At 40.7% G+C, this 24,193-nt stretch overlaps 1 protein-coding gene across 11 annotated transcripts in view; it reads right to left on the bottom strand.

The window, feature by feature from the left end:
* The window catches only part of BTBD9 (BTB domain containing 9), a 471,479-nt gene that overhangs the window by 437,493 nt on the left and 9,793 nt on the right, over nt 1-24,193 (bottom strand). For 4 of the 11 annotated variants that reach the window (NM_052893.2, XM_011514279.4, XM_017010227.3 and 1 more), the window contains exon 2: nt 6,891-7,090. The exons of the other annotated variants lie outside the window; for them this stretch is intronic. The gene's annotated coding sequence lies outside the window, so the exon portion shown is untranslated. The remainder of the gene's footprint in view (nt 1-6,890; nt 7,091-24,193) is intronic. 11 annotated transcript variants of the gene reach the window in all.

Genomic DNA, 24,193 nt, shown 5'->3' on the forward strand with positions numbered 1-24,193 from the left:
CCCTCAATCTGAGTAGGCACCATCTAATCAGCTGCCAGCATAAAAGCAGGAAGGGTAACAGCCGACTTGCTGAGTCTTCTGGCCTCCAACTTTCTCCCATGCTGGATGCTTCCTGCCTTCGAACATCAGACCCCAAGTTCTTCAGCTTTTGGACTCTTGAACCTACAGCAGTGGTTTGTCAGGGGCTCTCGGGCCTTTGGCCACAGACTGAAGGCTGCGCTGTCGGGTTCCCTACTTTTGAAGTTTTCAGACTCGGACTGGCTTCCTTGCTCCTCAGCTTGCAGAGGGCCTATTGTGGGACTTCACCTTGTGATCGTGTGAGTCAATACTCCTTAATAAACTCCCCTTCATATATACATCTATCCTATCAATCCTGTCCCTCTAGAGAACCCTAATACACCCTGTCTTAAAAAATAAAAAAGGTTCCCACAATGAAACCACTGATTGAAGATAATATAACATTGTCAACACAAGCAAATAATAAGAAAATGGCCAATATGACAACTTTACTACTTACTGGTAGTAAAGATTTTATAAGAAAGTGACCTTTGATTATTTTAAATGATTAAATCATTTGAAACATACAATATAATTAACAATGAACCTCCACACAAAAAGCATTAAAATATTTGTTGACTAAATATATATTCGTTGGATGTATTAATCTGAAAACAAGCTTAAAACCAAATTAGAATCTGGTAACAAATTAACCATTTTATAGTAGGGACACTGAAAGTACTTCTCATCTAACAATAATGGCTACTATTTATTGAAGACTTACTTATAAGCCAGACACAGTCCTAGCATTTTTATATATATCATCTTATTTAATATTCAAAAAATTGAATTAGGTAGGTACTTTTAAAATATCCATTTTACAGACAGGAAATTGAGACACAGACAAGATTCGGTAATTTGTCCAATCACATACCCAATAAGTAGCAGATTCAGAAAGGGTTTGTCAAGGTCCTGAACTTATAAAACCTTGCTAAGTAAATGTAAGATATCAGAAATGATTCTGACTCTGACTTCTAGACCTGTCAGCTAACTCCTCAGAGCAGCAGTTCTCAAACTTTAACATACCATCTTCAGACTAGGTAAAATATGCAAGGGTGATAAGAATGAAATGCTATTTTTCAATTCTCTTTGGAAAGATTATACATACATGTACTTTGCTAATACAAAGAGAATAATTCATATTGGAACTGCAATGTACAATCTAGTTACTTAAAAGTTACAAAACAAGAATACTGTTGACACAAATATGCATCAATATATACTACAGGGTTAAGTGAACAACCTGTAAGAAAAATAAAGACTAAACAGTAATTTATAATGAAAAATTAAGAATAGAAACCAATATAAAGCTCAACTCAACATATACTGACGATATATGTCTTTCTAAAATGTAAAGTAATTCCATTTTATGCATGTTCATATGTTCATATGTGGAGCTTTGCAATGTTGCTACACGTTGGATAGTATCCAAACTTCTTAGTAGAAAACTTAAATTAGAAGCCTTTATAAACTGTAGTATTATGCTAATGTGGGTTTATGTATGCCACATTTTGCATACTCTTAATGCTTCACTTGATTGGTTATCAGTAAGTTGCCAAAGGATATACATAAATGAAACACTATGAGATCTTCTGCTATTTGCCAATATGTTTTGGACCAGTGGCCTTGGGCCATCTTTTGAGAAGTGTTCTTCTAGACTATGAAATGCTCCAGGCTCACTTTGTATAATAACTAACTCTGTGGTGGCTGGGAGAAGCTACTCCTTTATTATTTATTATTTAATCACAAAATATCAAGACTCCCAAGGCAAAAAAAAAAAGGCTCAATTTATAATTTGCCAAATTATTTTTATTTCAGTTCAAGCCCTCTTCAGTCTCTCTGGATTCAATCTCTTATTAAAACAACCTTTCCCAAGTAACTATGAAAAAACAAACAGAATCATTCAAATCTTCCAATAAAATAAATATCAAATGACCCAACTGAGCTTCATTCTGATTTTAAATTCCCCCAAATCCTGAAACTTCCTTCTTCCTCTTCCTTCCCTTCAGAAAGGATCAGGTACAAAAACTTACCAGATTTTCATAATCTAAGTTCTAAATGTTTACCTATAAACTACCTTATTCAGTCACAAACATTCCCCTCAGTCTCTTACTTCTCATTTGCTCTAGTATATGACTCCCTATAAGGCAATCTCCCATAAAATAAGATGACTTTTAGGAATGACAAGTCATAGATTGCAACTCTAAGAAGTTGCTATCACTTATAGATCTCAGAGATTATATAACTATCCTTTTCCATACTCTCAGCCTTATTGGTCCCAAGCCATTGAAAACTGCATGATCTGTATTCTGGGAGCAGAAAAATATATGCACCTAGAGCCAAAAAGCAATGAAAAAGTCATGATGAGCGCAGAGGTTATTAGTTGTAATAATATTTGAGAATACAAGACAAGCCATTTCTGTTTAATTTCTTCAGCGGCAACTTATGGGTCTGTAACATTCTTGCTCAGATTTAAATTATATGATATTTTCCTAATTAATAAAGGTTATTATAGCATGAACTCCCATTAAAGCAGTGGAATCATCAATTGCAGCAATTTAATTTCTTTGTAGCAAAGCTACTGTGAACATTTGCATTACTGTCTGTGTAAAGGAAATTGGCTTTTCATTTGTAGAATGTTATAAAAATGTTCTACTATGCATACTTTGACTACTGTTTGTTAAACCTAGTATCTTGGCTATTTTCTGTGGAATTGTAAAATAAAAAAAGATCAACTCTGAGAAATTTGTACAACATAAAATATTGATTTATAAGTTTATTTGTGCCATTCTAGAACATAATCTAAAGGAAATGTTCCACGAATTATACTAGTATTTTGCTCTTTTTCCCCTATATAACCTCTTCCTCATTTGTTTTATGAACATTGACTTTATTCTAACTCCAACATAACATTCTGTACTGTGATTTTAAAAAAAGAAGAAGCAGAAGAAAAAGAAACTCAGAAACAAGTATCTCCATGCAGTCTAGGAGTTACTGTCCAAAACCTACAGCCATTGACTGCCTGAGCTAAGGGGCCACTGAATTGACCAAGAATTCTTCCAAATCCAAATCTACAGTGTGTATGTAAGAATAAAGGAATGAACAGGCACAACTCAAGCCAACAACTTCATTTTAGGAACAGAAAAAGCTTAGGCAAAAAGAGTTTACAGCCTGGGCAACAAAATGAAACCTCATCTCTTCAAAACAAACAAACAAAAAACTAGCCAGGCATGGTAGCGCACACCTGTGGTCCCAGCTACACTGGAGGCTGAGGCAGGAGGTTCACATGAGCCTTGCAAGTCAAGGCTGCAGTGAGCCATAATCACACCACTGCACTCCAGCCTGGATGACAGGGCAAGACCTTGTCTCAAAAAAAAAGAGTTTAAGTCCAAGAAGTCCATGTCTCTAGACTTTTCCTATAAAACTATCAGCCTTTAATGTTTCAAATTTAATTTTACCACCAGACTTCCACAAACCCCCAAGAATAAGCAAATATGTGGCCTGCCTTTCACCTTCTTCTATGTGTACATACACTTCACCTACAGTGTGGGAGAATAAAATCCAATTAAAAAAAGACACAGAATATATTTTTTCCTTCTGTTTTAGAACAAAAACTCTAAAGGGTAGTGGACGGTTCTTCTGTATTCTGTTCACTAATACCCTCAAGACACTAATGAATAATTGATGAGCTTATGATTAGACTGCTATCCTCAGTTTTGAACAACATTCATGGAACAAATTTAATTCACATCTAATATTGAATTCTCTTTCTTTTATCATGATTGAAATATGCATCAAGGTTGATCTCTGTTCCTTAGAATTTCATCAGTTGGTTCTTTACCTAAAGTCATAATATTGGTATTTGACCAACTCAGCTAAAGCACCAACTTGGGATGTCACTGACACAAATTCTCATAGCCCATCAAAAGAACATATTGGAACTATGCCTTTGTAACAGAAGCTTACAATGCAGGTACCTTAGAAATAAATATACTGACACAAGAAGAGAACCTATTTACACTTTATAAGCAGAATACTGTCTGAAGGTCATTTCTAAAAGAAAAAATAAATTGTGGTTAATAAATTTTTTAAATGTTGTTAGATTTCATTAGTTGAAATGGCATCACATTATTTGACAAATATAAAGCCATCAAGTGTAGCAGAAATGTTGTAAAAGACAAATGCCAGCAGAAATGTTGTAACAGATAAATGCCAGCTTCTCGAAGTGTATATAAACCAAGAAGCTTATGTTTTACTTGGCAAACAGGAATCAGCCGCTGATAACGAAACAAGATTCATAAAATACTCTCTTTGCTGTAGCCATGGTAAATCTAAAGCAACCCATACGCGCTGTGGATAAAGTGAGATTTAAGTAATTAAAGAAGGTAGCTTTTTAAGGATATTAAATGAAAGATATTCCATGCAGACAACACAGCAAGGGGAGGAGACACTCAGTGGCACTAATGGAAAACGTGAGATTGAAAAGGAAGTTTGTTCTGAGTAGCAACAGAGAAGAGACAGAAACAAATAAACACTGTGGTGGATAGAATCTTACAATATAAAATGTGCCTAAACTACAATGTCTTCATAGGAACAAAGATCAGAAATGGAGAGGTGCTCATAGTTCTGTGGGGGTTAAGATCTGGGCAGATCATTTTAAGTCCCTTGAAAAAGGGAAAGGGAGATTAGGCCACATTCTGTAGTCCTTCAAGCTCTAAAACTGTAACAAAATCATGTATGTAGGAAACAATGTTCTCATATACTGTTGTAAGTATAAACTGGTTCAGCTTTTTGGAGGTCAGTTTGGCAGTCTATCAAAATTTTAAAAATACATTTCCTATGGCCGAGCAATTTAGTTTCTAGAAATATATAAGGTTATTAATTACAGCATTGCTTGTAACTGCAAAAAACCGGGGTGGGGGGGGGACTAAACGTCCATCAATACGGTGAATGGAAAATATATTACAGTGCATCTATACAATATAGCCATCAATAAGAATGGAATAGATCTATATGTTCTGACTTGAGCACCAAAGCATGGTCAGTGACATAAGCAAGCAGACCTCATACAATAGGATCCATTTATTTAAATATACGGAATACATGTGAGGATATATATGTGTTTAAATACATATACGTATATGTACATGCATGGTATCTAGAAGGTACCTAAATATTTATTAAGTAAACACAGACATAGAAAAAAGAATTCCAAGCACACACATCATACTGTTTACAGCAGTAACCTCCAGAGAGGGAAGTGGGAATGTAGGAAGATAGGGAATGACTGGGAAGTTTTATGATTAAACTTAATGTATTTCTCAAGTGTTTCCTTCTTTTATAACAAGAATGGATTTCTCTTTTACATAAATGACATTTTGAAAAATTTAAACAGTGGAAATTACTAAAGAAATATTTATCAAAAGGATGCATTTTTAAAAATGCATTTTCTTAAAAACATAGATGACCTCCTACTTGTACCAAGAAACAGTGCAATGAGACATGAGCAAACACTGATGCAGACAGAATTTTAGTTAACAAGAGACTTTTTAGAATTAGCTAAATATGTGTCCAAATGCAAATCCTGGAGGGCAGTGACTAGGTCTTTCTTCCCGGTGTCCCATAAGGATGCAATAAACAAGTATGACACTAAACACAAATGTGAGACTCCATGTGAGTCTCAGGAATTGATTATAAAATATACATACCCATCTTAAAAATATCTCTCAACTATTTATCATCAAATATTTTCATTAGGAAGTTCTCCATTCCCCTTGTATTCAGTGGGTATTTAGTTTCCTCATTTCTACTTTACTAACCAAGGTTATACTCCCTTATCACACTTTGTATGTTTCTCATTTTTTTCCAAATATATTTAAACTTACAAAACCACTTAATTATCATACTGCATCTTTCTTGGTGTTTGCTCTCAAAGTCTCTAGCGATTTAGGTTTTGTTTCCAACTGTCAAGTCTATAAATACTTTGAGTGGAATGTAAACAAACCTTAACAACGCTATTATCCTGAGAATCAACACCTTAAAATCTCTACATATCACTATTCAATTTTTCCATTCACAAAAATATAAAACTCATGGTCAGGTGTTTCTAGATGGTGCATAGGTGTGCATTTTCAGAACACAGGAAGGGTAGGACTCTGTTCTTTCTACACTTCTATGTTATTTAGTTTGTTAGTTTAGTTATAATGGGTAGGACCTATGAAAAGCAAGTGTATAAGAATGGAAGTTCATGAAATAAGTGATTCACATAGCTGACTTTCAAGAATGTCTGCTCTTCAACTAATATTCAAGCCAACAACTGGTAAAGGCCTATTCTGAGCCAAGCCCAGCCTAGCCACAGTGGAATAAAGAGCAGTTAATACCCAGATACCAACTAACCAAGTTTATTATCCTTCTCTTGTGCTGTAACTTAGAGATCATAGGCAAAAGATAACTGCAACTCCTTCTCCAAACACTCCCTTCGCAATCAACAAAAGATGACATTCCAAAAACAAATTATATATAAGCCTTTGAATTCCTAAGTCTTTTCATTAGAAACAATGTTGCAATATCTGGTGGCCAGTCCACAAATGCCTATTTATTCCCAAGATGACTTAAGGAATGGGGTATTATGGAAATCCATGATGAGTAACAATGTGGGGAAATGCAGAGTCTCAATTTAGAAAGAAAAAAAATACCTTACTAGCTTCCTGGCAATAAAAGGACAAACTCTTTTCCATTCTCCACACTCTCCCCACCCCCAAATCCCCTTCAAGTCTGAGATGAAGAGGCCAGGGGCACTCTCTGTTATCAGACACAAGAATTACTACTCTTACCTTCTTCCCTTTCAATTGCCTTATCTGCTGATTTTCAGCAAACCAAGGTTTGCTCTCTTGGGCTCATGAGGCTGTAGAATGCAGTGTCTAATTTCCATCAACTCTCCTGTCCCTTTGGAGCTGCAATGGCCACAGTGATGGCCACTTGCCACATGTGGCTACCGAGCACTTGAAATACAGCAGGGCCAAATTGAGACGAGCTGTAAGTGTAAAATATAAATTGTATTTCAAAGACTTACTAAAAAAAGAAAACCATGTTTTTATTGAGTAGTTGTCAAATTGGTAATATTTTAGATATATTAGTCTTCATAAAATATATTAAAATGAATTTCAACTGGTCCTTTCTACTTTTTTCATCAGAATAGCTATTAGAAATTTTAAAATTACATACAAGGCTTGCGTTTGTAACTCACATTATAGTCCTGTTTGACAGCGCTGCTTTAGAGATTGTCTTAGGAAAGGCAATAAAGAGTATCCAAAGTCATACTGCCAGAATTAAAATCTCAGGCCGGGCATGGTGACTCACGCTTGTAATCCCAAAACTTTGGGAGGCCAAGGCAGGTGGATTACCTGAGGTCAGGAATTTGAGACCAGCTTGGCCAACATGGTGAAACCCCGTCTCTACTAAAAATACAAAAATTAGCTGGGCATGATGGCGGGTCCCTGTAATCCCAGCTACTTGGGAGGAGGTGGGGTGCAGGAGGTGGAGGCCGCAGTGAGCCAAGATCATGCCACACTCCAACCTGGGCGACAGGTTGAGTCTCTTTAAAAGACAGAGTGAGACTTTATCTTTTTTAAAAAAAAAAATACAGCCCATATGGACACATGTATTACTCAATGACAGCATTTTGTGTATTTCCTGCACATTTTGTTTCAATATAAAAATGTCAGAGGGAGCCTGGGAATAAATGGTTAAGGGGTACTGACATTCCTGTAGCAATGTAAGGAACCTCAATCTGGACTCTGGGAGATGTGGGCCCTGACTTTCCTATCAGCAAATCAGCTGTCCTCTTTGGCTTTTGTTAATCTCATTTGTAAATGAGAAGACAGGGCTAAAAGTTCTCTGAAGTCCCTTCCAGCTATGAGTATTCTCTTCCTCTCCTTCCAAACAGCTATGTCAAGTCTCACCAGAACGCTTACCACCATAAAAACATCCAACTTAAGCAGACTTTGCTGGTGAGGAGCCCTCCTGCTTATTCACCTTGTTCACCAGTTAGTGAGAGCCAGGGATATGGAGCTGCTGGCTCTTCTGAGTTGTCAAGTCTCTCCTCTCATACCTCCAGCCTTTTACTATTGGAACTTCTTGTATTCTCCTTGTCTGGCTAATTCTGCCTCTTTCAAGGCTCAGAACAAGCTTCAAGCCCTTCAGCAGAAGCCTTCACTGACGCTGCCAATCTAGGTCACCTCTTCTGTCAGATTCTGTTCCCCCATCACCGCCCCTATCATACCTTGCTATGATTTTGTTACGGACCTGTCTTGTTGGTTAGTAAGCTCCCAGAGGACAATAACCAGAACACAGAGACTACAGGCACTCAACAAATGCTGAATAACATCTTACTCATCTTTACATCCCCAGCACCTTACAGTGACTGGCATATTTAAGACCCCAAAATTAACAAAAGAGGCCATACAGATATTAACAGACCTCTCTTCCAAATTCCAGACCCCTATATTACCACTGCCCACTTTACATTTGCACTTACTTTTCTCAAAGATACCTCAAAACTCAATTCACACTCTCTATGCCCCTCCCTAGTAAAAGCCTGTCCTTATGCAATGTTCCCTAGCTCAGTGAATCCGGCTGTGGAAGCCAGAAAGACACTGCCTTCGACCTCAACCTAATCCATCAGCAAGTCTTTTGTTTTTACCTCCTAAGATAGCTTTCAAGTCAATTTACTTCTTTGCAACTTCCATGCTACCATTCTAGTTCACTCCACCTTCATCTCTCACTCGGACCCTCACATAGTTCCTAAGTGATCTCCCGCTTTCCACTCAGACCTTCCTCCAAACTGTCCTCCATGCAGGAGCCAGAAAGAATTTCTCAAATTACAAAACTTGAGTATAAACCATTTCCCTCATCCTTTCCCTCCAGAACTCCTGTCCCTATTTAAAACCCTTCAGTGGTATTCCACGGCTCTTATCGTAAAAGAAGCACAGAAAAAAACGTTTAACTGGGCCTTCAAGGCCTGTGGAATCTGGGCCCTGCCTAACTCTAATCATTCCCCCTGACTTTCCCTAGCACTGACATGCTCCCTTATGCCACAGGGCTTTGGCATAAGTTGATCCCTTGTTGGGACCATGCTTCTTCTTTTCACCTTCCATCATCCAAGTGCAACTCAGGTGCCATTTCCTCATGCAGCCTTCCTTGACCTGGGTCTAGCCAGCGCTCTTGTCATCTGCACTTAGAAGGCTTTTCTTTTCCTTCACAAATTGTATCTCTTTGTATTTATACATTTCCACCCTTACATGCCATTTCTCCACATAAATCTTTTGAAAATATAAATCAGATCAGTCACTCCATTGCTTAAAACACTTCAGTGCCTTCCTATCTCATGCTGAATAAAAATCATACTCCACCAAGATCTACAGCTCTGCAACCCAACCACCTCCCCAAACTCATCTCCAACTCCTCTCCTGGCACATTCTGCTCCAGCCACACTGGCCTTACTGTTCCTTAAACACAGTCAAAGCTTATTACTGACTTAGGATCCTTATCATTACCTTCCCTCTACCAGAATGTTTTGTTCCCAAAGCTTCATACTACTGGCCACTCACCATTCAGGTCTTGGCTCCTAACCACCCTACATACCCTACTACCCCCTTCACTCCCATACCATTTCTAACCTTCTACTCCATTTGATTTTCTTCACTGCTCTTAGCCCTAGAAGATAACCTCCATGAGAGCATGGGTTCTGCCCTATTCACCTCAGTGCCTAGAAAAGTACCTGGCATAGAGGTACTCAATACCTGTGTGAATGCTTAAAGTAATTATTGCGGTCCTTTTTCAAATAACTGCACTTCACTGACAGTGAAGAGTTACACATATGAGGATGGGATAATGTTGGCTGTGGTAGGCAGAAATGTAAGATGGCACCCAAGATCCCTGCTCCCAGATACACACACCCATATAATCCCCTCCCCTTGAGAGTGGGCAGGACCTGGAAATATGATGGGATAGTTACTCCAGTAACTTTATATAAGAGTCTTGTAGCTGACTGGAGGGAGATTCTCCAACTAGCCTTGAAGAAGCAAGCTGCCATGTTGTGAGAGGCCCATTGGCTAGGACTTGGGGGTGGCCTCTAGGAACTGAAAGCTACCTCTAGCTAACAGCCAGCAAGAAAAGGAGGATCTCAGTGGTATAATCACAAGAACCAAATTCTGCTACCAACCACTGAGCTTAATAGAGGACCCTGAGCCTCAGATGAGATTATAACCCTGCTGACACTTTGATTTCAGCATAGTAAGACCCTGAGCAGAGAAGCCAGTTGTGCCATGCTTGGACTTTTACTTATATAATGGCCATCAATACTATCAGACCCAACGCCTACTTTTTATAACAAATATTTTATTACAACGCCCTACTATTCTGAAATAAAATTCAGAGATATATAACCTACTAAACACTTTTTTTTAATGTATTAGCAAGCCAGGCACATGTCTAATAGTCCCAGCTACTCGGAAAGTTGAGGTGGGAGTGGGAGGTGAGGCCAGCTGGACTTCCTGGGTCGGATGGGGACTTGGGGAACTTTCCTGTCTTACAAGAGGATTGTAAATTGCACCAATCAGTGCTCTGTAAAATGCACGAATCAGCAGGATTCTAAAAGTAGCCAATCGCGGGGAGGACTGAAAAGAGCGCGCTTTGATAGGACAGAAACGAAACATGGGAGGGGACAATAAAGGAATAAAAGCTGGCCACCTCAGCCAGCAGCAGCAACCCGCTCAGGTCCCCTTCCACGCTGTGGAAGCTTTGTCCTTTTGCTCTTCACAATAAACCTTGCTACCGCTCATTCTTTGGGTCTGTGCCATCTTTAAGAGCTGTAACACCACAAAGGTCCGCAGCTTCATTATTGAAGTCAGTGAGACCAGGAACCCACCAGCAGGAACAAACTCCGGACACATCTTGGGGACTTGTCCAGGATATCGCTATGCGGTGAGTACTATCGGACCCCTTTCGCTTGCTATTCTGTCCTATTTTTCCTTAGAATTCAGGGGCTAAACACTGGGCACCTGTCAGCCAGTTAAAAGTGACTAGTGCGGCCACCGGACTAAAGACACGGGTGTCAGGCTTTCTAGGAAAGGGCTCTCTAACAACCCTTGCCTCTTCGGAGTCGGGAGCGTTGCTTTGCCTGGAACCAGCTTCTGCTTTTCCTGCACTTCCGGGCTGAGCCGAGGGTCAACAGAGAGGAAAGCCATTCGGCTCCAAAAAGTTGGTTGACCCTGCAGCCATGAGCAGAACTCTCAAGGTTACATCACCCAAGCGAGACTTGCCCATCTATTCTATCTATCCTGACCCTTGCCTCCTGGGTCCCAATGCCTCTCAGAGAAGTTCCTCCCACCTCTCTTCTCCAAGGCTAGTCCTGCTTCTCAAAACCACTCCCTGTCCCCGATGCTCTTCTAGTTTCTCCTATAAGGATAATTTGTAACATAAATTTCAGGACTCTGTTCCCTTCTTTAGGCACCCAGGCTTACCAATCAGAAAGACATAATTTTTGCCCAAAGCCCCGTCATAGGGGGTACTATCTGGAATTTTAGGATGCCTCCTCAGACTAGCAGGCCTAACAAAGGCCATTCCCAAAGCCAGGATATGGAGAGCCTCAGAAATTACAGACTCCAAAATTGGGGGGATGTCCTTCCTATTCAAATGATGAGAAGTGAGGACAAAAGACGTCACTGTTCCAATGCTGGAAATCCCTTCCCTCCCTCAGTGTATGGCCCTCCACTCCATTTTGAGGCATATCATCTTCATAGGACAAGGGTAAGGTCCCAGCACCAACAGGAGAAAACACTTAGGACTCTAACTAACAGGTTTTTGAGAATGCATCCGTAAGGGCTACTAAATCCAACCTTTCTCGGTCCTCTTTGTGGTCTAAGAGGAAAGGCAAGGGTGCAGGTTTTTGAGAATGTGGTGGTTAAGAGCCACTAAATCTGACCTTCCTCGGTCCTCTTTGTGGTCTAGGAGGAAAACAAGTATTTCCACTGCTGCTTCAGTGAGCGCAACTATTCCAAACAGCAGGGTCCAGGGACCATTGTGGGTTCTTGGATGGGGAAAAATACAGACCAAAACCACGGACGGTTTTTCCTTTCAGATGGGAAACACTCAGGTATCAACAAGCTCACCCTTGAAATGCATCCTAAGCCACTGGGACCAATTTGACCCGCAAAACCTGAAAAAGCAGCAGCTTATTTTTTTCTGCACTACGGCCTGGGCCCAATATTCTCTCCCTGATGGGGAAAAATGGCCACCTGAGGGAAGTATAAATTACAGTACTATCCTGCAGCTTGACCTTTTCTGTAAGAGGGAAGGCAAATGGAGTGAAATACCTTATGTCCAAGCTTTCTTTTCATTGAAGTATAATCCACAACTATGCAAAGCTTGCAATTTACATTCCACAGGAGGACCTCTCAGCTTATCTCCATATCCTAGCCTCCCCACAGCTCCCCTTCCTATAATGATGAGCCTCCTCTAATCTCCCCCACCCAGAAAGGCAAAGAAACAGGCAAAGAAATCATCAAGGGACCACAAAACCCCCCAGGCTATCGGTTATGTCCCCTTCAAGCTGTAGGGGGAGGGGAATTTGGCCCAACCCAGGTGCATGTCCCCTTTTCTCTCTCTGATTTAAAGCAGATCAGGGTAGACCTGGGGAAGTTTTCAGATGATCCTGATAGGTATATAGATATCCTATAGGGTCTAGGGCAAACCTTCAGCCTCACTTAGGGAGATGTCATGCTACTGTTAGATCAAACCTTGGCCTTTAATGAAAAGAATGTGGCTTAAGCTGCAGCCCAAGAGTCTGGAGATGCCTGGTAACTTAGTCAAGTAAATGACAGAATGATAGCCGGAGAAAGGGACAATTTCCCTACCAGTCAGCAAGCCGTCCCCAGTATGGATCCCCACTGGGACCTAGACTCAGATCATGGGGACTGGAGTCGCAAACATCTGTTGACCTGTGTTCTAGAAGGACTAAGGAGAATTACGAAAAAGCCCATGAATTATTCAATGATGTCCACCATAACTCAGGGAAAGGAAGAAAATCCTACCACCTTCCTTGAGTGGCTATGGGAGGACTTAAGAAAATATACTCCTCTGTCACCTGACTCCCTCAAGGATCAATTGATCCTAAAAGATAAGTTTATTACCCAGTCAGCCACGGATATCAGGAGAAAGCTCCCAAAAGCTAGCCCTGGGCCCTAAGCAAAATTTGGAGGCATTATTAAACCTGGCAACCTTGGTATTCTATAATAGGGACCAAGAGGAACAGGCCAAAAAGGAAAAGCAAAATAAAAGAAAGGCCACAGCCTTAGTCATGGCCCTCAGACAAACAAGCCTTGGTGGTTCAGAGAAAACAGAAAATGAAGCAGGCCAATAACCCCGTATGGCTTGTTATCAGTGTGGTTTGCAAGGACAGTTTAAAAAAGATTGTCCAAAGAGAAACAAGTCACCCCCTTGCCCATGTCCACTATGCTGAGGCAATCACTGGAAGGCACACTGCCCCAGAGGACAAAGGTTCTCTGGGCCAGAAGCCCCCAACCAGATAATCTGTCAACAGGACTGAGGGTGACTGGGGAAAGCACCAGCTCATGTCATCACACTTACTGAGCCCTGGGTAAGTTTAATCATTGAGGGCCAGGAAATTGACTGTCTCCTGGACACTGGCACAGCTTTCTCAGTGTTAATCTGCCCTGGATGGCTGTCCCCAAGGTACATTACCATCTGAGGAATCCTGGGACAGCCTTGTAACCAGGTATTTCTCCCACCTCCTCAGTTGTAATTGGGAGACTTTGCTCTTTTCACATGCCTTTCTTGTTATGCCTGAAAGTCCCACACCCTTATTAGGGAGGGACATATTAGCCAAAGCTGGAGCTATTATCTATATGAATATGGGGAATAAGTTGCCCATTTGTTGCCCCCTACTTGAGGAGGGAATCAACCCTGAAATCCGGGCATTGGAAGGGCAAAAAATGCCTGCCCAGTCCAAATCAGGCTAAAAGACCCCACCACTTTTCCTTATCAAAGGCAATATCCCTTAAGGCCTGAAGCTCATGAAGGATTACAGGATATTCTCAGATATTTAAAAGTTCAAGGGTTAGTAAGAAAATGCAGCAGTCCCTGCAATACCCGAATTCTAGGAGTACAAAAACCAAAAGGTCAGTGGAGACTAGTGCAAGATCTTAGATTCATCAATGAGGCAGTAATTCCTCTACATTCAGTTGTACCCAACTCCTATACCCTGCTCTCTCAAATACCAGAGGAAGTGGAATGGTTCACTGTTTTGGACCTGAAGGATGCCTTCTTCTGCATTCCCCTGCACTCTGTCTGCCAGTTTCTCTTTGCCTTTGAGGATCCCACAGACCACACGTCCCAATTTACATGGACGGTTTTGCCTCAAGGGTTTAGGGATAGCCCTCATCTGTTTGGTCAGATATTGGCCCAAGATCTAGGCCACTTCTCAAGTCCAGGCACTCTGGTCCTTCAGTATGTGGATGATTTACTTTTGGCTACCAGTTTGGAAGCCTCATGCCAGCAGGCTACTCTAGATCTCCTGAACCTTCTAGCTAATCAAGGGTACAAAGCATCTAAACCGAAGGCCCAGCTCTGCCTACAACAAGTCAAATATCTAGACCTAAGCTTAGCCAGAGTAACCAGGGCCCTCAGCAAAGAACGAATACAGCCTATACTGGCTTGTCCTCGCCCTAAGACATTAAAACAGTTGCGGGGGTTCCTTGGGATCACCAACTTTTGCCAACTATGGATCCCTGGATACAGTGAGATGGCCAGGCCACTCTATACTCTAATCAAGGAGACCCAGAGGGCAAATAGTCATCTAGTAGAAAGGGAACGAGAGGCAGAAACAGCCTTCAAAACCTTAAAGCAGGCCCTAGTACAAGCTCTAGCCTTAAGCCTTCCCACAGGACAAAACTTCTCTTTATATGCCAGAGAGAGAGCAGGAATAGCTCTTGGAATCCTTACTCAGACTCACGGGACAACCCCACAACCAGTGACATACCTAAGGAAATTGATATAGTAGCAAAGAGCTGGCCTCACTGTTTACAGGTAGCTGTGGTGGTGGCCATCTTAATATCAGAGCCTATCAAAATAGTACAAGGAAAGGATCTCACTGTCTGGACTACTCATGATGTAAATGGCATACTAGGTGCCAAAGGAAATTTATGGCTATCAGACAACCACCTGCTTAGATATCAGGGGCTACTCCTTGAGGGACCAGTGCTTCAAATACGCACATGTGCGGCCCTCAACCCTGCTACTTTTCTCCCAGAGGATGGGGAACCAATCAAGCATGACTGCCAACAAATTGTAGCCCAGACTTATGCCGCCTGAGAGGAACTCTTGGAAGTCCCCTTAGCTAATCCTGACCTTAACCTATATACTGATGGAAGTTCATTTGTGGAGAATGGGATGCGAAGGGCAGGTTATGCCATAGTTAGTGATGTAACAGTACCTGAAAGCAAGCCCCTTCCCCCAGGGACCAGCACCCAGTTAGCAGAACTAGTGGTGCTTACCCAAGCCTTAGAACTGAGAAAGAAAAAAAGAATAAATGTGAACACAGATAGCAAGTACGCTTATCTAATCCTACATGCCCATGCTGCAATATGGAAAGAAAGGGAGTTCCTAACATCTGGGGGAACCCCCAATAAATACCACAAGGAAATCATGGAGTTACTGCATGCTGTACAAAAACCCAAGGAGGTGGCAGTCATACCCTGCCAAAGCCATCAAAAAGGTGAAGAGAAAAGGCAGAAGGAAACCGTCGGGCAGATGCTGAGGCCAAAATTGCTGCCAGGCGGAACCTCCCAACAGAAATACCTATGGAAGGACCCTTGGTATGGAACAACCCTGTCCAAGAGATTAAGCCCCAGTATTCCCTGACCAAAACAGAATGGGGACTTTCACAGGGGCATAGTTTTCTCCCCCTGGGGTGGTTAACGACATTAGAGGGGAAGGTACTCATACCCGAAGCCAGCCAGTGGAAAATACTTAAGTCCCTCCACCAAACTTTTCATATGGGTATTAAGAACACTCATCAAATGGCCAAATCCCTATTTACAAGGCCAAATCTCCTCTGGACCATCTGACAAGTAGTCAAAGCCTGTGAGGTGTGCCAAAGGATAATCCCTCGGTCCGTTGTAAGGCCCCTCTGGGGCAACAAAGAATAGGGCACTATCCCGGGGAGCACTGGCAGTTAGACTTCTCCCATATGCCTAAGTCAAGGGGATTTCAATACTATGTTAGTCCCTGTTGATAACTTTACAAATTGGATAGAAGCCTTCCCCTGCAAGACAGAGAAGGCTCAGGAAGTGGTTAAAGTCCTAATTCATGAAATAATTCCTAGATTTGGGCTTCCCCAAAGCTTACAAAGTGACAATCGTCCAGCTTTTAAAGCCACAGTAACTTAGGGAATTTCCAGGGCACTAGGGATACAATATTACCTTCACTGCACCTGGAGGCCACAATCCTCAGGCCCCATCTCTGATAGGACCAAAAATACCCTAATAGGATACGCAATCCAGCTTTTATGCTCTTACATTTCCAACCTCACCTATTACACAAGCAATGAAAAGCCTATACATGGCCCTGTAACCACGAACACCGTGTTAACTTTCCAAGCCCCTTTATGCATCCAATGCAACCTGTTATCAGGCCTGCCCCTGGGGCACCTACTATCCCATCAGTGTAATTACACCCTACAACTTCAAGCCCCAACTGATCATAGTAACTTCCCAGTTACCCAAACAGCTCCATTCAGATGGCTTGTCGCCCTGCTTCACAGTCTGGGTTTTGTAATGGCAAACATACTCCCTGCATGACCATTCATCCCTGCAATCCCTGCAGCAGCACCCCCACCACTAATGAATGCCTTCTCATCCCGTCTTTCAATTACTCTCTTGAATGGTTCCTAGTAGATACAAAACAGTTTTTTCTCCAATGGGAAAACAGAACACAGGGAGCCACTCAGTTTGCTCCCAACACCCCTTTCCAGCCACTCACCGGGGCTACCTTGGCAAGTACTCTAGGAGCATGGGAAAATGAAAACAACAAACTCACACACCTTTTTAACATACACAACCAGTTCTGTCTACCCAGCTAAGACATATTCTTCTTATGTGGAATGTCAACCTATATCTGCCTCCCCACCAACTGGACAGGCACCTGCACCTTAGTCTTCCTAAGTCCCAACATTGACATTGCCCCAGGAAATTAGACTCTATCAGTGCCCCTCAAAGCTCAAGTCTGTCAGCACAGGGCCATACAACTAATACCCCTACTTATAGGGATAGGAATGGCCACTGCTACAGGAACCATAATAGCTAGTTTATCTACTTCATTATCCTACTACCACACACTCTCAAAGGATTTTTCAGACAGTTTGCAAAAAAATAACAAAATCTATCCTTACTCTACAATCCCAAATAGACCATTTGACAGGAGTGACTCTCCAAAACCACTGAGGCCTAGACCTCCTCACTGCTGAGAAAGGAGAACTCTGCACCTTCTTAGGGGAAGAGTGTTGTTTTTACACTAACCAGTCGGGAAAGTACAAGACGCTTCCCGGCATTTACAGGAAAAGGCTTCTGAAATCAGACAACGCCTCTCAAATTCCTATACCAACCTCTAGAGTTGGGCGACATGGCTTCTCCCCTTTCTAGGTCCCATGACAGTCATCTTGCTATTACTTGCCTTTGGGCCCTGTATTTTTAAACTCCTTGTCAAATTTGTTTCCTCCAGGATTGAGGCCATCAAGCTACAGATGGTCTTACAAATGGAACCCCAAATGAGCTCAAGTCACAACTTCTACCAAGGACCCCTGGACTGACCCACTGGCCCTCTGACTGGCCTAGAGAGTTCCCCTTGGGAGGATACTACAACTGCAGGGCCCCTTCTTTGCCCTATCCAGCAGGAAGTAGCTAGAGCAGTCATCACCCAGTTCCCAACGGCAGTTTGGGTGTCCTGTTTAGAGGGGGGATTGAGAGGTGAGGCCAGCTACACTTCCTGGGTTGAGTGGGGACTTGGGGAAGTTTCCTGTCTTACAAGAGGATTGTAAAACGCACCAATCAGCACTCTGTAAAACGCACCAATCTGCGCTCTGTAAAACGCGCAAATTAGCAGGATTCTAAAAGGAGCCAATTGCGGGGAGGACTGAAAAAAGTGCACTCTGATAGGACAGAAATGGAACATGGGAAGGGACAATAAGCGAATAAAAGCTGGCCACCCCAGCCAGCAGCTGCAACCTGCTCAGGTCCCCTTCCACACTGTGGAAGCTTTGTCCTTTCGCTCTTCACAATAAACCGTGCTACCACTCACTCTTTGGGTCTGTGCCATCTTTAAGAGCTGTAACACTCACGGCGAAGGTCCGCGGCTTCATTCTTGAAGTCAGAGAGACCACGAACCCACTGGCAGGAACCAACTCTGGACACAGGAGGATTGCTTGAGCCCAAGAGTTTGAGACCCACCTGGGCAAAAGAGTGAGACTCCTATCTTTAAAAAAATTAAATATTGCTTCTCAGCCTTTTGGCTAAAATCAAGCATAGTAAAAAAATAAAAACAAAAATAGAAATACATTATGCAACAGAATGGTACACAAAATGGTACACAAAATCCTACCCCCCATCCAGAAAAAAAAAACACTGTAAGACAGAAACAAAATAAAATAATTTATAATGAAATAATATTTATCTCATAAAATTACATTAGAAGACAAAGATACTCCTATAAATTTTCATCATGTCCTATGAGGGGAGATTCCATGTCTAATAAGAACTGGTTTCAAGAATTAGTGTACCTAGAATACATGGACTCCAATTTAGGAGAATAGTTAATCTTGAAATGTCTAGTATTTGCTAATTTTGTTTCTTTTTGTATCATGTTGTAAGGCAGTTTTCATAGTTACATTAGTATTATATTTTTATTCTAACCTTTTTCCAAAATGGACTTAGGTTTGAAAGCTTCATAATTTCCCTTTTGTCCTTCTCCTCCTCAATTATTAAGTACTCACTGGGTACATGACACTATTTCTTGAAATTAATTCTCACAATTAAGTAGACCTTTAAAGCTTCTAATTCATTTCCCAACTCACATTTTTCAGATGTGAAGAGAAAATCATCATCATCTAGTAGCTCATTATACATGCTATAAAATATTTCACCGTTTCACCCCATCTGTGAAGTTGGCCACAGTAAACATGTTTTGTTGCCTTAGTCAAGATTTACGATAATATAATAATGTAATTTTAAAGGCCATATGCCAAAGTACTTCCTAAATTAATAAAAATACTTAGCATTTAACCTATAACACACTTTAAAATCATCACATAATCTTGCAGGTAGCTACTTGCCCATTTGCCCAGGGCTAGTAACAATTGATGGAGAGCCTGTCACCAAGCCTATTTACTTGATTTATTTTACAGTAGCTTTCTAAGGCCACATACATAATGGGTACTCACTTTGTGATGGGAAAATAAATTATTTGGTCTGGACAACCTGACAGTGTTACTATTAAGTTATTAATTTGCTAAGAGGGAGTAATTCCCTGAATAGCCTTCTTTCCTGCCCAAACAAGAACACAATTAGTAAATATTCACAGATTCCTAGAACATAGAGCTGAAAAGAATTCAAGCATCATAACTATGACTTTTTACAGATGAGAAAACTGAGGGACTTGTTCAAAGTCACAACATTCAAAGGCAGAACCTGAGATAGAATAAGGAGAGATACAGCATCTCAACTTTCTCATTTAGAAAATGGTCGCTGCCCCTAAAGGGTAACTATGAGGATAAAATAAAACACATGAAGGACATAGTACAGTGCTTCACATGTAACAGTCATTTCATACTATCATTTTCCTTCTCACATTTTCTTTCTGACATGTATATTGCACTGACAACAAATTACACTCCATTCAGGAACAGGAGTCACCTGAAGGCTACAGAGGAATCACCTAACCCCAACTCTCATAAGTTAAGTCTATACTCCCAAAAGTTTCAAGGACTTTCAATTTGTTGGACTGAGCCCAAGCCAATGTCCCCAGAGTTGAGAGTATGCAGTTTACAGCCAACTGTTCAACCTTGTGCTCCACACATACTTAAAAAAAATTTTATTATTTAATTTTTGTGGGTACATAGTAGGTATATACATTTATGGGGTACATGAGATGTTTTGATACCAGCGTGCAATGCATAATAATCACATCATGGAAAATGGGGTATCCATTCCCTCAAGCATTTATCCTTTGTGTTACAAACAATCCAATTATACTCTTTTTAGTTATTTTTTAAATGTACGATTAAATTATTATTGGCTATAGTCACCTTGTTCTGTTTTCAAATACTAAGTCTTATTCATTCTTTTTTGCTTGTTTGTTTGTTTGTTTGTACCCATTAACCGTCTCCTACTAGACTACAAGTTTTTTTGTGGGCAGGAACCACAAATGATTCTCCTTTGGACCCAGAGCACCTAATATTACCTAGCAAGAGGTCAACACATGTTTGCATGGATGAAAGAGAAGCTGCCTGGGCATCTCCTTCCCAGCTCCACCTGAATTAGGTCAATTCTTATCATAAAGGAGCCACACCATACTCGAATTCAACTTACATGAATTTAACTATTTATATGGAATAAGTTAGAAATAGCGGGGCCTACTCACCACTCCACTTAGTGACTACATGCTCTTTGCTGCAATCAAGCCTAAAACAAAAGGTGTGAGTGATTTTAGAAGTTTCTCAATCACTGGTAAACAAGTGAGGAATTAAATGAAGGCCCTAAAGAAGCACTGACCACAAAGAGCTAGAGAAATAGTAGAACACAGTCATCCCGCCTTGAGAGAATTAACCTTCCTTAAAAAACTCATTTGGTGATTTCTCCACATCAAAAGAATTTAATTACCACTGAAATAAATGGCACACAATTACTTCAGTAAAGTATACATATTTTAATGTTTACGTAATTAAACTTTCAATCTAGGGGTGACAGACCAGTAAAGAGAGCAAAGAAATCAATGAAAACTATGCAAATGCATACAAGATTATTACCACTTTAAAGCAGCAAATGAACTATCTGAGAGAACTTCACCAACCCACCAATTACACCACGGCAAAGATGGCTTCACAGTGGTGCTTATGATGCAGGTCAGAAAATAAAGGTGGCACTCATGAAATGAGGTGCTGATAAGCCAGATTAGGGGTGTCTTATAAAACTAGTAAAATTAAATTCTCATAATCCAAATTAGCTCATTTTTGGACAAGCTTGTATTAAGAAATCCATGACATGGTGCTCTGTAGGCATTAAGGTACTGATATGGAACAGCCTCCAAGATATAATGAGAGAAAAGCAAGATGCAGTACAATATATATGGGCTTAAGAATAAACATTAGAATATGCCACATATACACAGCATGTTTCTGAATAGATATGCAAGAAACTTTATTATTTTCAATCTCCCCCAGTAGAATGGACACTCCATTAAGGCAGATCTTGGCCTATTTTGTTCACCCCTGCATCCCCAAACACAAGAACAGCACCGGTGTTGGCAATGAACCAATGGTAAGCTGTTTCAAAGAGGTGGAACTGGATGTCTGTGGGGTCAGGATGGGAGGGCGACTTAATTTCCACTGTAAATGCTGTCATATTTTAAAATTTTGTACCATTTTTATAAATTACCTCCTTAAAAAGTGATTTTTTTTTAACAAATGAGTCGCTCAATGAGATGTTACAAAGATTTATTAGGCTGACTTTCATCTCCAGGACTTTAGCAAGGTACTAACTAAAAACTGCAGCATGAGTATTAGCAGGCTTGACAGGAGTGAGACTCATGCTGTTACTAAAAAGGATCAATAATAACTAGAAAATTTTAACTGGTTTAACCACCTCAGAAAACAGTTTCCTACTATTTACTAAAATTGAAGCTCTGCCTATCATATGACTAAGCAATTCTATTCCATATATCCTAAAGTAAGGTGTATTTGTGAGGCATGCGCAAAAAGGGTCATAACTTTTTTATTGATAAGCAGATTATCTATCTGGGAGTGGGTAGGAACAAAGTAGAAGGGACAGAAGACATGGGAGTGACACTTCTCTGAGAATAACTTCAACTTTTGGAACCATGTTAACATTTCACATACTCAAAAAAGGACAATAAATAAAATGAAAAATAGAGAGAGGGGCACCTAACATGAAACATAAACAGAATCAAATGAACCAAACTGTAGTTCAAATGAATAACATAACCACACAGAAGAAAGCAGGGGAGAAGAGAAGTACTAACTCCTATAACTCTGAATACAGTATTTGGACTACAGGTCCCCACGCTAACATTTGTTAAAATGCTAACCTCTAGTTAGTGGGTTTCTTTTTCACAAAGGTATGGGCTAACAATTTTGAACCTACTTTCTGGGTACATTAAGAGTATACAAATAAGTAAATATGTTGTCAATAAAGGGAGTCAGGTTCTTACTGTTGAACAAAGGCGTTACAAACACGAAAAGGGGAATGGGTAGAATAAACTCCGCAGTGTAGGGTTGAAACTGGAGGTGTCAGTATGAACTTATGGTTAATATAGATATACAAAAATATAGAAATGTGTGGAATACACATACATTGAAACTGAAGGTGTCAGTATGAACTCATGGTTTTTAATATAGATATACAAAAATATAGAAAGGTATGGAATACACACACACACGCACATGCAACCCATAACATCTATTTGCTAAGAGGGCCTAGAAGCAATGATACCTCAGTAGCTCTGAGCACACCTAGCACTGAGATCTTGTTTCTAAATATAATTTTCTACCAAGTGTTCCTTGGAGAAATAGCTGATTCCAGGGAAGGGGTAGGGAAAATATGAGATAAACCTGGTCTCTCTTGTTGTGCCAGAAAATAAGAAAGTGATCAAAGAATCAAGGGGACATGATAGACAGACACAGACCCAGCTTGAAAAGGCTGGTCAAATACGGAACAATATGAGTTTAAAAAAAAAAACAAAAACAATGATAGTAAAAAATTAAACCCATTGAATAACATAAGAATCCATGAGATCACTGAGATATTAATTAACTAGTTAATTAATGGGGGCAAGTCAACTAATAAATGTAAAAGGAGTGATGGAATTAGGAAATCTTCATTTGGCAACAATCATGACAATAATGGATTCAGCAAATAGTCATCAATGAAGCCTAAAACTAGTCGGTGAAAGTTTGAGGAGTAACAGGATATTTACATCCTCTCAAAGTATCTCCCAGAAGATACCATTTACAAAGGAAAGGCAGAAACTTTACAGTGGAGAAACCAGGCAGAATCCATCTTAACTAAGTGATCAAAATTAACATCACCAATAATAGAACAAATCAACATTAGCATCTTCAAATGAAGCACTGAGAAAAATACATCACATCTATATTACCGCCAAAACTGCATAATGTGGATCTAATCATAACCAGATAAACCTCAAGTGAGAGACATACTATTAAAAAAGTAAATAGGCCGGGCACGGTGGCTCATGCCTGTAATCCCAGCACTTTGGGAGGCCGAGGCAGGAGGATCACGAGGTCAAGAGTTCTAGACCAGCCTGGCCAATGTGGTGAAACCCTGTCTCTACTAAAAATACAAAAATTAGCTGGGTGTGATGGCATGTGCCTGTAATCCCAGCTACTAGGGAGGCTGAGGCAGGAGAATCGCTTGAACCCAGGAGGTGGAGGTTACAGTGAGCTGAAATCACACCATTGCACTCCAGCCTGGGCAATAAGAATGAAACTCCATCTCAAAAAAGAAATAAATAAATAAAAACAAAACTGGCCTAAACCCTTATATAATGTCAGTGTTATAAAGACAAGATTGAGGCACTATTCTAGATTAAAGGAGACCAGGCCAGGCGTGGTGGCTCATGCCTGTAATACCAACACTTTGGGAGGCCAAGGTGGGCGGATCACCTGAGGTCAAGAGTTTGAGACCAGCCTGGCCAACATGGTGAAAACCCCGTCTCTACTAAAAATACAAAATTAGCCAGGCATGGTGGTGCATGCCTGTAATCCCAGCTACTTGGGAGGCTGAGGCAGGAGAATTGCTCCCGGAAGACA

Source organism: Homo sapiens, chromosome 6, assembly GCF_000001405.40.
Source record: "Homo sapiens chromosome 6, GRCh38.p14 Primary Assembly".
NCBI lineage: Eukaryota > Metazoa > Chordata > Mammalia > Primates > Hominidae > Homo > Homo sapiens.